The sequence below is a fragment of the Homo sapiens genome, chromosome 2 (genome assembly GCF_000001405.40).
Source record: "Homo sapiens chromosome 2, GRCh38.p14 Primary Assembly".
Classification (NCBI taxonomy): domain Eukaryota; kingdom Metazoa; phylum Chordata; class Mammalia; order Primates; family Hominidae; genus Homo; species Homo sapiens.
In genome coordinates, this window is record NC_000002.12 from 141,846,170 (window position 1) to 141,860,067 (window position 13,898).

General features: G+C 31.9%; 1 protein-coding gene and 1 long non-coding RNA gene across 5 annotated transcripts in view; one reads left to right on the forward strand and one right to left on the reverse strand.

Moving 5' to 3' along the window:
* Positions 1 to 13,898, reverse strand: part of LRP1B (LDL receptor related protein 1B) — a 1,899,594-nt gene that overhangs the window by 1,614,747 nt on the left and 270,949 nt on the right. The window lies entirely within an intron of this gene.
* LOC105373648 (uncharacterized) lies at positions 799 to 8,981 on the forward strand. Of its 2 annotated transcripts, XR_923382.4 has the most exons (4): positions 799 to 865; positions 3,668 to 3,758; positions 5,090 to 5,169; positions 8,901 to 8,981. It is a non-coding gene; the product is annotated as an uncharacterized LOC105373648 (long non-coding RNA). The 2 variants fall into 2 exon arrangements; XR_923383.4 differs by lacking the exons at positions 799 to 865; positions 3,668 to 3,758 and adding an exon at positions 4,791 to 4,863.

Genomic DNA, 13,898 nt, shown 5'->3' on the forward strand with positions numbered 1-13,898 from the left:
AGATGAGTAGACTAAAAAATACAGAAAGGAAAATAGGAAATTTTATAGATGTTGTAAAAATTTTATTTAATAAAAGAATAACCAAGTAGGCATTATTACATTTAAATATGTAGCTAAAATTGATAACTTTCTGGGAAAATATATATGATAAATTAAAAAGAAGAAATTGGGAATGTAAATAAACCATTAATCATGAAAGACTTTGAAATGGCAATGAAAGCACTATCCCAGATACTTCACAAAATTCCCAAGATTGTATAGATATGTTTTACCGACATTTTTGGAACAGGTTATCTTTATATTAAATAAATTGTTCTAAAAAATAAAAAAATGTGGGGAGCTATTATTCCCTCAATCTAAACCATGTAAACCTTGAACTGGAAAATGATTATAATTTAGTTTTATAACTAACTATAAAACATATTTATACAAATCCTTAGCATAATATTAAGTAATCCAATAGCGTTTTAAAACCAATATAGTGTGAGTAAATACAATTTACTTCAAGAATTATTTAATGTCTGAAAAATCCATCAATATAAAATATTAATGACCTAAAGTATCCATCACATTCTCACCCGGAATGACACAAAAAACATAGGATCGTGAACGATATCTTTTAATAAAAAAAATAAAAGCTTTAGAAATCTAAAACCAGCATTTTTCTTACTAGAAAAATGTTTTTTAAAAAATTCTATAGGAAATGCTACATTTGGAGAAAAATTTTCTGATGCGTTTCTTTGAAGGTTGAGAATAAGACAAAGATGATTGATGAACATCAATGTTCCTATGCTACTCAAGAGTTCTCTCTTACTAAATAAGGTAAAGAAAAGAAAGAGGAGGCCTAAATGCTAAGCAGAAAGAGGTATGACTGTTCTTTGTTTCATTTCATTTTGTAAATTATATGTTCACTTACATAGAAAATCTAAGGGAACAAATTTTAAAATCATTAGAACTAATAAGAGAACTCAGCAAGTTTGCAAGATTACAAAATAAAATCACACCCGAAACCAATTAGAAGATGTAATAGAAAATAAGATTCCATTTACTATAACAACAAAATATATGTTATCTAGGAATTAATCGAACAATAACTGCATAAGGCCATCATAAATGAACTTAAAAGAAGTGCTGAATAAGTAGAAAGATATACATTGTTCATGGATGATATGGCTACATACTGTAAAGATGTAAATTCTCATCAAATCAATTTATAAATCCAATTCAACTCCATTTAAAATCCTTGCAGAGTTTTTTGTATCTAGACAACTGATTTTTTTTAAAAGACATGAAAGCAGCTAGGTCTATAATTGGCTGAAACAACTTTGGAAAATAACAAAAATTGATTATTTTTTTCCTAACAGATATTATAACACCAAGTCATTGTATAATATTTACAAATATGTGCAACAAATGCAGAAAAACATACAGTATAGTGCAATGGAATAAAAAGCCTTAAGACCAACTTCTACATATAAGGCAACTTGATGTAGGGATGATATTAAAAATCTAAATGCATTATTATGTAAATGTTAATTTACTAAATGATGTCAAGTAATAAATGACTCAGTACAGAGAGGAAATTCTCTAATACTGTTACAAAAAGAGGCTCCAAATTTCCACCTATGTGTGAAGGTTTGAAACCTTAAAAAATGATGCAAATGTTTTTGTGGCAATAGGGTAAAGTAACTGATAATATTTAAGTTAAGGATTTTGAATATAATGACATCAATGACAAATTGGGAAAGATATTTGTGATATTTTAAATCTAACAGAGGGCTGATTTTTATATATAATATTTACAAAATAGAAAAATAAAGACTTTAAGTTAATAAGGAAATGTGCATACACAACCAATACATGAAAGGAGAAGCTACAATGAGTAAGGAGAATATAGAGAGATGATCTACTTCACTAGTAAGAATAAAATGCAACTTACAATGTCAATCAAATATTTCTATTAGAAAGTAAATGACACATAAATACCAATTGTTTATGATAATTAGGTAAAAAGGAACCCAAGATAAACCTGAAAACCTATTCTGAAACGCAGTATTTTTTATGTATATACTATAGGTGTGTAATTCCAACCATTGGTATAAACTCCAGAGAAGTCCCTTGGAAATTCTGAGAGACTGAGTGAGAGTGAAGGGAGGACATGAAATATTATGCTGGGACACAGGCATAAACCAAGTATGTCTTAGGTGAACAAAACAGACCATCTGGGCATGCTATATATAGAAAACTACTCATCATAACAGAGTTAATGTTAGAATATGTTGGATTCAGCTTAGGTGTCTGTCACTAGGAGACTCTATAAATAATATGTGGTATATGCATAGACATATAATGGAATGTTATCCAGGAGAAGTGCAGCCAAAACTATACATCTTAAAAATAAAATACAGAATGAAAAATATAAGAAAGATAATTATCTTTATAACAATACCATTTGGTTACATTAACACCAAATGTATATAGATGAACTCTGTGCATGGTTTCAAAAACATTATATTTATATATACACAAGCAATTTATGAGAGATATATGAAAAGAATTTTCAGTATAGAAATTAGAATGGATACCCATGCAGGGAGGGCAATGTGATTGAGATTTAAAAAACAAGAGGAAATAACGGAACAAAATTAAACATCAGAAGGGCTTTGCATAAGCAGTTAATGAAATTACAAGGACAGAGTCTTTTGAGGATTATTTTTATTGATGCCATTCAGATGTCCAGGGGAGTGCCTGGCACATAGTAAATGTTCATTAATATGAGTGAATGAAGATTATCATCAGATAAATTCTGTGTGTCCAAGATCCTACAAAAGGATAATTAAAAAGAAATAATTTGGTTTTCCTTATTTTACTCATGTTAATTTTTAATGCAAGCTAATACAAAATCAACATGCTAAACACGTATTTGGGGGATTAATATAATGATCAGACTATCCATTTTTGTGCTACTATCAATTGTTTTAATTATTCAGGCTTACAATGTCTTGCATCTAATGCTTAACTAAATTTTCTCATTAATTCCAAAAGTTTTTAAGCAGATTCTCTTGGGTTTTCTTGGTGTATAATCACATTGTCTACAAATAATGAAAATTTTGTCTCTTCATAATCATTTCATGTCTTGTTGCATTGTCAGAATATTAATTGTGACAGCATTTTCTTTCTTTTGTTGTTCATAATCGAATTATCACTAGTTTTTCACATCTTAATTATGGCGTTGACTTCGGCTTAATAGAGATCTTAAGCACGCCAAAGAAATACATTATGCCCAAATATCTAAAGTTTTACATTTTAAAAAATTAGAAAGTTGTTCCATTTTTTAACTTTCAAATCTACTGTCTCATAATACCTTTATGAGAAAATACGTGTTCATAATTTAAAACTCTTCTTGACAATATGAGACATGTTATCAAATGACAAACAGGAAATGAGGACTTTTACATAGAAAAATAATGTTGCTGTGCAAAAGTTATAGCTTATGTTAAATATGGCCTTTAAATACTTTAAATGAATGAAATGAAAGGTTCTATACATATGTAGAGCTAATACATACCGTAAAATTTCTATTTTGTATTAACCTGTCAAATTTATTGATTCCCTAGCCACATCACAACTTTATAATTAGATCTTAATATTTCAAAATTCCATCTAGGATGTATATACCATTTATGAGATTTCTCTTTAAATCTCCGATTCTAAGAAAACAGAGACAATTGATGGCCAAGAAACTACCTGTGGATGGAGTAAGTTTGGCATAAGTTAATGTTTCACATGCTTTTTAGAAGAAACCATTTGTTAAGATCATCTCCAAAGTTGAATCAGGCAAAATCTGCATTCCCAATAGCAAAAACCATCAGTAGATCAAGAATTTAGTTTATGTTTACCACCTGGGTTTACCTGACACCCAAACTGAATGATTCATTCGATTTTGTTAAAAAGTCACTCATCTTAGTGATAATTTTTCATTATTAAACCCTTTGCTGTCTGTAGCAAGGATTAATTATCAATCCAACTTCATCTTTCCCTGCAGAAGTCATTTTTATGCTTTTTTTCCCCCATGGTCCCTAATAAAAAGAATTTAAAATAGTGGTACTTAGCAAAACAATCTGATTAGATCCTGGTTGATTTAAAGCTTGTCAGAGTAAAGAACATGTTTCAAAATTCTTTTGTGATCTTTGCTTTGTGACATAGATAGTATTCTTTAGAGATTTTATTTTTAGTAGAATAATTATAGAAACACCCATCATCCACATTCCACAACTTTCAACATTATGAGTTTTTAACTAAAAATGGTCATTTTATTTTTAATTCATGATTTCTAGATAATATACTCTAGGATCTGTAGCATATATATACATTCCTATATATATATATGTGTGTGTGTGTATATGTGTGTATGTATATATATATATATATAGTTCTGCCCTAGCATAAACTCTGTGTGTGTGTGTGTGTGTGTGTGTGTGTGTGTGAGCATGTACACAAAAGTAGTCCTCAAAATTCTCATTCCTGGCACAATTCAATAGGTGGAGGAAAATAGGTTAACCAGCAAAGCACTAAGAGGCATCCATTGCATACCTGTCCCTCTGGTCCCCAAGCATTCACCCAGACTAATAAGAATTTCCTGAAGCATGTACAGTTATTCTTATTTGATGAGTCTGGAATGCTTTATTTTTTTCCTCCTTAAAAATCAAAGGAATCCTACAGATGCTGACATTAAACATACTGATGGGAATTATGATCATATGTCAGAAAAATATATAACTCCTTTGGGCTCTGTAAGAAGCTGACAGCCTTCCCATAAAATATTAACCGCTCACAATAAAATCCCTTCACAAGGAGTGAGAGGTTAGTAGAAAGAATCTGGAAGCCCTCAACAATGAATTTCGATTAACTGGGTGACTTGAATTCCCTTGTTCTAGTTGTTTTCAGTCTTTATTATAAAGTTGGATAAAAATGCATAGAAATCACTGGCGTATATTCATTTGGCAAATGTTTGAAAGACATAAAAATGTGAATGCCCTCATCTCAAAGGAATATATGAATAATAAATTGGTCATATTACATTTGGCAGAAATGGAGAAGGTGAAGCAATATTGTTCCATTAACTCCAAGAAAGGTCAAGAGGTTGTCACCTTGGTGACCATCCCCTAGGTATGTACAACACAACCCTCCCTTTCTCTAAATTCAGTTGGTGGCTCTTTCATAAATGCTATTTCCTATTCTGCTATACACTGAAATATACTGTACTCAGGAATATTTTTATTAGGCTTTATTCTATAGTTATTCATGTAAATAAGAAATTTAGATAGCTGTGTGAAAATTTGCCAGTGTGAAAAATCGAAACACAGCTTGGAATAAAATGCATTAGCAATGCAAACATAAAATTAGATTTCCCAGGAAATACTCATACCAAATAAAGTAATGAAAACATCAGATGGGCATTGAGTACCTTACCTATATATCTTAAAAAACAGTAAATTAGTTCCAAATTGGACAGGAGTTTGTTATTGTTTTAGTTTTACAATTAAGTCCCCGAGAGTAATAACAATAAGGAATTGCTGTTTCCTTAAGTGCTTTCCGCCACATGGACAAGGTCAGTCCAAATATATCCAAATAGACATACCTATCAGGAAAGCCACTTTTTCTTGCAAATGGACCCTAAATTAGGCTAGACTTTTCTGATAATAATTCCCTGCTCTCAAGAGAGTGAGAATTGCTTTCTTGAGTAGAGTTTTCAGAATTTGATATAATCTACAAAGTTCAATTTTAAAGCGGTGGCCCAAAACCTCATTGTTTCCAATCCTAATACACTTGAGGAATTAGCCATAATCCTATCAAATAAAGTTGGGATGTCCCCCAAATCCTAATTTTTATCCCCCTACTATAAGAATCAATAAATTCATCTTTTAAAAACGGTGTTCTAGAATAGGTAGTTGTGATTAATAAAGGGGTTAACGGTATGGTCAGTTGCAGTGATTTGCACTGAATTCATCTTTAAAATCTAATGACACTGCTATTTTTATTAGATGGGGTCTTATATTAGCACAAGAGTTTTGTCTTTTGGTAATGACAAAATACCTGTCTTTACATCTTGGCTTGGAAATTTATTGACTTGACCTTCCTTCAAAATGAATATTATTCAAATATATAGTCAACATTTATTGGGTGGTTAGCAGGATAAAGTGATCTTTCTAATAGTAAAAATTATATATACAAACATGCATATATGATAGGCTTCTAAAATATGTGTTCACATAAGGCAGGCAAACAGGTAAGAGTAGTTAAAATAACTCTGCAATGAAAATAGCAATGTGGTGCCTGACAACATAAGAGTTATTAAAATGTAATACAAGAAATAATAATCACAGAAATATTGAAATATAAGTAAATAATTTTAGCAATGAAGAAAGAGACCAATAGGTCAATAGAACAGAGCAAAAGTGAGAAGAGATTCAAGTACATATGGAAATTAACATATAATAAAACAGCATTTCGAGTAATTTGGGAAAACACAATTTTGTTTTGTTGATCCAGCTAGCTAGCAAGCCATGAAGTAAAAATTAAATAAAGCTGAACCTATAAAATAAACTACAAATGGGTCAAAGTTTTGTAAAAAAATACAAAAAATTAAAAATGCCAAAAGAAAACCAGTACATATTGTTTTTAAAAAATCTAACAGGAGAGAAGAACATTCTAAGTATAGTTAAAAAAAAAAGAAATGAAAAAAACTTTGGAGGCCAGAATAAATTGTGAATACATCATTATCATATGGTGCATCTCAGTTCCATTACAAATATATACATTAAAAAAATGGAAATAAAGAAAAACAATATCTATAGGCTGCTTCCCATGGAAATTACATGCATATATGATTCTCTTTATTATATTGATATTAAAAGCTCTGGTGGTTGTTAGCTACCCATCCAAAAATTAATAAAATGAAAACAAATAAACTCATGGATTTAATATCTACAGATTCTACAAAGCTGTTTTATTTCTTTGGATCCTGGTAATAAGGACTGTGAATGTTAAGGGAGGATCATTTATTGACGTATCTGGGATGCCTGGATTGTAAGTGCCTTGCAAACAACCTGTTCTTAAAAAGCTGCCCACCATCACCATTTAAGTTATAACGGTTATGAAGAATCACGCAATAGAAAAAATAATGATATGTACTTTAATTGTGAAATACTCAATCTCAATTGTGCCTATTCTATTTATGTTAATGTTTCTCCACGTTCTACAGATGAATGTTTTGTATATTTTCAAGTACTGCACTCTACAAAGAGAAGTTTTATTTTTTTGCTATTAGTCAAAATTTTGAAGTGTATATGTATGTTGTCTCGGTATTGTTATGAAGCAAAACAAAAACTCTTTAAAGCTAAATATCAATACAAATTATATGTAACTATCATAATTAAGGGTGCCAATGCGGTTCATATTTAAGCTTAAGTTTTTGCCTTATTTGAAAATCAATGTGGACTTACATCATTGTCAAATGAACTGATAAAAAAAATAATGAGGCTACTATAAAGTGACATCTCTAGAAATGTAAATACAAAAGTTTGGTAGTGAACACAATAAAAAGAGAACATTATCCAACAAACATAAAGTATGCATTTCTGAGAAAAGAGTTTGAAAACTATACATATACATTTGAGTATTGGCACATTTATGTGGCTCAAGTCACATATTGATATTTTATGATATATTTGTTGTGACTTGAGCCAGATAAATATTCCAATTATTAAATCCATGAAGCAATACATGTTTGCAAGGTTAAGACAGCTACTATGATTACCTTAATTAAAAAATTTCCAGGTTATTTATGGGATAATACAAGAAAATTAAATTTATTATTCTGTAAAGTATGCAACAAACCATTAAACATTGCAATAAAATCAGTTGGTGCAAAAAGAAATGCAATTATGTTGCATTCATGTAAACCCTTTCATGAAGTAATTTCCAAATATCAATCATGACTGACATTTATAATATAAACATGGAAGCGGCACTTACATTTTTAAAAAGCATGAGCAAGTTCCCACTATCTCACAAAGAGGAAAATGTTAAATCAGAACATCGTCATAATTGTGGCTGATAATTTCTAATCATTCAAATCTCAGAGCTCAATTTTGTGTAACAAAAGCAAGGGGGGAAAAAGCAATTGCCATTTCATCAGAAAGGGATATTTTATCATCTCTTTAAAATGTGACAATTTATTCTTAATTAACAACTCAATAAACGGCATTGCAAAGTTTTTCTAACACCATACATGAATAACTCGTAAGCAATCAAGACATTAGATGAAAACTAAACGCAGGCACATCATAAAGTTTTGATGCTTTCCACCTGCATTACACATCTGTTGAAGTTGAATTTGTAGGAACTATAAACTAGTCCATTGTCCATCATTTTGGAAAAAATAAAATATTCCCTTAATCCTTGATGTTTTAAAAATGTGGATGCCATAAAATTGTAAGTAGGAATATTGAACAACAATGGCATAAAGGGGAAAAATATTTATTAAAAACCTAGAAATGGATTGTGTATAAATACAATGAATAATAAACATTACTAATGTAAACTCATTTTCTTCTATAGAACAGTTTTTAGAAGTTAGCATAGAAAACATATTATCTGTACCTATTATTTTCTTTATTCTGATATGTATGGGATTCTTTTGATAGACAGATAAAAAGTCCTAAAAAAAATAGGCCTAGGCTTTGTAATTGCTGGGGAAGACAAACCTCTTCAAGTGAATATGCCTAAATTTATATAAGCATGAAGTATGTAGTAAGTAATATAACAGATTAAGGATGGATTTCAGTTCAGTGGCAGAAGAAAAAAATGAACGAAATTTTGTTTTCTTTCTTTCAAAGGCAAGGTGTTGGGGTGCTAGGAAGAAGGTGGAGGCTGACCAATTCCCTCATCTGACAGGTTGTGTGAACATAAGGATTGGCTCTCAAGATGAAGCAGCCATTTGAAGCTTCCAAAGACCACTCGAGCATGACCATTCATTAAGAATTTCAATTTTGACAGAAGCAGATGTAACAGGTTTCTTTTTATCTCTGTTGTTCATAAAAAAAAACTGCCTAAAGAAGGGTGAATCTTCTCTGTTAGCCCCTTAACGGGATAAGACATTCGAATTAAGAAAATGAAATTGAAGAGGGATGATCTGCTTGGCATAAGACAAGAAGGAGAGCTGAGTACTCTGAAGTGTAATCTTGCATGGGATTTGAGCAGAGGCTAGTGAGAAGAAAAGCAAAAGTAAATGGTATTGTGATCCCGGAAATGTTCAATGTAATCTGCCAAGCTCATACATGCTTTAGGTGAGTGATTTTCAGTGGTGAAAATTCTAAAAACAATAGTTTATATCAGATATTTTGTGATGTGAACTGAAGCAACATTCCAATAATAAGCCTATGCCACAATTCCTGTTCTCCACTTGGGACTGGTAGAGACTGTTAGAGGTTTAGGGGTTACCCTGGCCACAGTATTGAGGGGTTCAAGGCAAAACCACATGGATATCAAGAAGCAGATGACTCTCCTCCTCCCTTACGCCACATCCAAACAAGTGAAGTCTGGATTTTAAAAATACATTCATTTGTAATATTATTTCTTGGAATAAAACAACTATTTCATACTTGTTGAATTAATGACTAAAGAAAATACAAAAAGACTTTGCACTCACAACCTGTATTAATTAATTCATCTTGAAAATAAAACTACTAATGGTAATCATATTTTAATGTAAAATAAAATCAGTTTAAACAAAACAAGACACCAATATTAATAGCATGAAATATCCAGTTGTCTTAACTGAGTGTGCTATGTAAATGCAATTACCTTAAGTGCTTTCCCTTTTCATCCAAAAGAGAATTTGTTTATACTATGTAGAGGCAAATACCATATATAAAAAATGTCTTCTGGTGATAAATGTTTTTCATTTTATGCAACCTTCTTGAATTGCATTTTGTGTGTTTACAAATATATACCAAGCCTCCCAGATATTGGCAAAAGAAAAGTATAACCTATCCAAAAATCTTCCGTTTATATAAAATATACAAATTGCTGCTAAGAAATGACATAACTTTATTCTATCAATTCTATAGTCTAAGCGTTTTAAAGTATAGCTGGAAGGGATCTCAAAAGGATCATCTAATCCAGTATTAAGGCAAGAGCTTGTCTAAGCTATGCTAGACAGTAGGAGGCCCATTTCTTTTTTTATATTTTTGCTTCCTCAGACATGGGAAACCACTGTTCATACAAATTTCACCTAGCAACCATCAAAGGGTTTGAAAACAATTAATAGATCACTCCCCAGCTGCTACTTCTGAAAGCTAAACACAAATTCTTTAGCCATTTCCTGAGAAAACCCAGTTATCCAGACTTCAACTATTTTTGTGACTATTCAGAACTGAGGTTTCTTTTCTTGCATTTTTAAAAATGTGAAAACCCAGAGGTATACAAAACAAGGCAAAAAGAGCAAGGTGATGCACATTAGAAGAGAGAATGTATCTTATTACACAATGGATTTGGCTTCTTTCACAGCAGCACCATAATGCAGACTTAGGCACATCTCAGGGCTCATGCTGAAAATCAGATCTCGCTCCCCGTTTCAACGATCTCCAGTTAGTTCTTCCTGAACTTGGCATTTTATTCAAGTTTAAACTTGTATTATTTTTATTAAGAGTGGTAAAATAATTAGTTTACTATTACAGGAAAAAAAAAAAAAAGTTTGAAGTCAGTGGCCTGGATCGGAATCTCTGCTGGTTGTGTGGCCTGGACTGTAATGTCCTCAACTCTAAAATGTGAAAATTATTCTCTACATTCTAGATTAGATAATTTGTGGGACTGTCTTAGAAGCCATATATAAATCACTACCACAGGGCCTGTTGTATAATAGCCATTCCACTAGAGTTAACTTTCTACCCCAAATTGCTTCTTCCTGAAATATTTGCTGCCTGGTCACTTAAGTTAGAGGTATAAAGTCAACCTTCATTATTTCTTCTTTTTTAGCTTCCACTTCCAGTTATTTTTTTTTCCTTTCATCCCTAAGATATTATTTCAAGCCTTCATTATCATACAATTAGAAGGTTGCAGTTGATTCCTAGCTTTCATTCCTCCACTCTTTTCCCTCTCCATTTTATTTTATTTATTTATGTTTTGAGACAGGGTCTTGCTCTGTCACCCAGGGTGAAGGGCAGTGGCATAATCATGGCTCAATGCAGCCTCAACCTCCCAGACTCAAGTGATCCTCCCACCTCAGCCTCCCGAGTAGTTGGGACTATAGGTGTATGCCCAGCTAAATTAAAAAAAAAATTTTTGTAGACATGGGGTCTCAACATGTTGCCCAGGTTGGTCTTGAACTCCTGAGCTCAAGCTATCCTCCCGCCTCAACCTCCTAAAGTGCCAGGATTACAGGCATGAGCCACAGCACCCGACCCCTCTCCATTTTAGAAAACTGGAAATATTTCATCACCTCTAGTCTTTAAAAGCAAAATGAAATAAAATCTTGCAATGAAGTCTTGCTTTTACCAAATAAAGTTCAAGTTCAACATTACATAAGGCTTTCACAAGGTAGTTAACCTTCTTCCTCTCCTAACTGACACAGCACTGGTCCCTTCTTCCCCTTTCACAGAACAGCCTTCACCTGTACTGCAGATATTTAAAGCCTACCTTAAATGTCACCTTAGCCCTTTTCCTGGCCCTAGGAGAAAATAAACCATTTCCCACTTGATACTATCTGTACTATTACATTTAAAACTAAATGATTACCTGTACCTGGATTATTTGTACTAAAGATGCTAGAATAGAAATCTTTTGACATCCAATTATGATATAAAGTTAAAAATGATCCAAGTAGGTACCCTAATTCAAACCCTCCAATTTTTGCTGTACCTTATCATTTCAGGGTACCTTGTATTTAGGATCTTCAGGAAAAAAAAATACCTGCGTTAAATTTTGACTGCCAAGTTTTGTGTGCTTGAATCAAACTCATTTCTTTTGGGTAGCTTTTACTAATTGCCATTTACTCCCATATTCATGTAGAGTTGACCATTTTTCTGCTATCCACACTGTAAGTTCTTTAGATTTTCATCTTATAAATGTCCATATTTTATAGAACCTATTTATTAACACAGTTATTTCCTCATTCTACATTGTAAATACCTTAAGGTTACAAACCATCTTTCATTCGCATCTTCAATAATTAGCACTCTGCCTGACACAGAAAATTTAGACAATTCTTTTTGAATGAATGAATTCACAGTAATAGTTTAGATACATAAAAATAGATCCAGATCCAGATATAGAGTTGGATGAAAATGTACAAAGAGATGCAGCTAACGACATAGACTTAAGGAAAAATTATACATCTCTTTTTCCTCAGAGAGCTTAGTGATAAGGACTATTACTGTTATTTTTTTAATTTGGATATTGACTTAGTGTTCTGTTTAACAATAAGAATAAGAACAACAATACTAAATACACAATGATTTGCAAACACTTAATGAATTATGCACCAGTAAACACACCAGGCAACATACTGTGTGCTTTGCATGCTGCTATCAACAAGGCTATGCAACAGTCTGTTATCTACGTTTGTGGATAAGGAATCTGATGCTCTAAGAGGTTAAAAGATTTTCTTAAGATGACATAACTGTAAGAAATGAAGGAAATTATTATTATCAATTAAAACAAGACAGTAGGAGTAGACGAAACAACCAGACTGTGGTAGGCAGAGGAAGTCCAAGTGGAAGAGGAGGAGAGAACATCAGGAAAAGCCCCTGGAATACTTTCTAGCAAGGCCATCAGTCATTTAAGGTTGTCCTCTCTTTCCCCCTCTAGGGCTAATTTAAATCCATCTTGCTGTGATTTAAGTCTTTCTTTTGGTTTTCAACCCTCTCATAACCTTGAGCTTACTAAAAACAAAACAAAATAAAATCTTCCTGAAATACATTGCTTCCTTTTCCCTCATACAATTGTTTTGTCCCTTAAATATTCCTAATATCTATCATGTTGTATTTTCTTCTGTTTTTCTTGTTCATATTAATTATCTGTAAAATGCTACACACTACCTGGGATAAGATAGGAAATAGTAACGTCAGCATCACTCCCTTTGTCTTTGCATCTCGACCTGAAATAGTCTATGAGTTTATAAAAGGCATTGGGCCATCCTCTCAGCATTGCAGGGCCACAGACAAGTCAAGTTTAAATATTTACATTTAAACAGATTTCAGGAATTGGGACTTCATGATTTTCCATTAAACATGACCAATATCAGTAACTTAGGAATGGAAACACAAATTTTTTCATCAAATAGTTTGCCATGTTAATTTATAAATTGTGGTATGTGGATAGTGAAAGATTTAAAAAGTATGTTTCCTGTTTAAAAATAGGGAAACTATAGCTAACAATAATGCACTGTATATTTCAAATGGCTAGAAGAAAGAATTTTGACTGCTCTCACAACAAATAAATTATAAACATTTAGGTGGTGAATATAATAATTACTATGATTTGATCATTACACAGTATACATGTAGCAAAACATCACATTGTATCACATAAGTATGTACAATTATGTGTCCAAAAGTATATTTTCAGTATTTATGACTGCTAAAAAACAGTGGTGAGAAAAGGAAGTTGACAGGTATTTTGTGTGATTTCTTTTCTACATACCTCTTGCTTGCAATGTGCACTATTTCATCACCCTTTTCATTTTAGTATACAAATCTCATGTTCAACAATGTTAGAATTTATATCCAAATGGCAAGCAGGCTTGTGTTTCCCATTTATATGTTCATTTTCATAAAAAACAAACAGAAAATGTTATTTTCACACATCGTACACCTCTTGAAACTAGCACTCTTTCT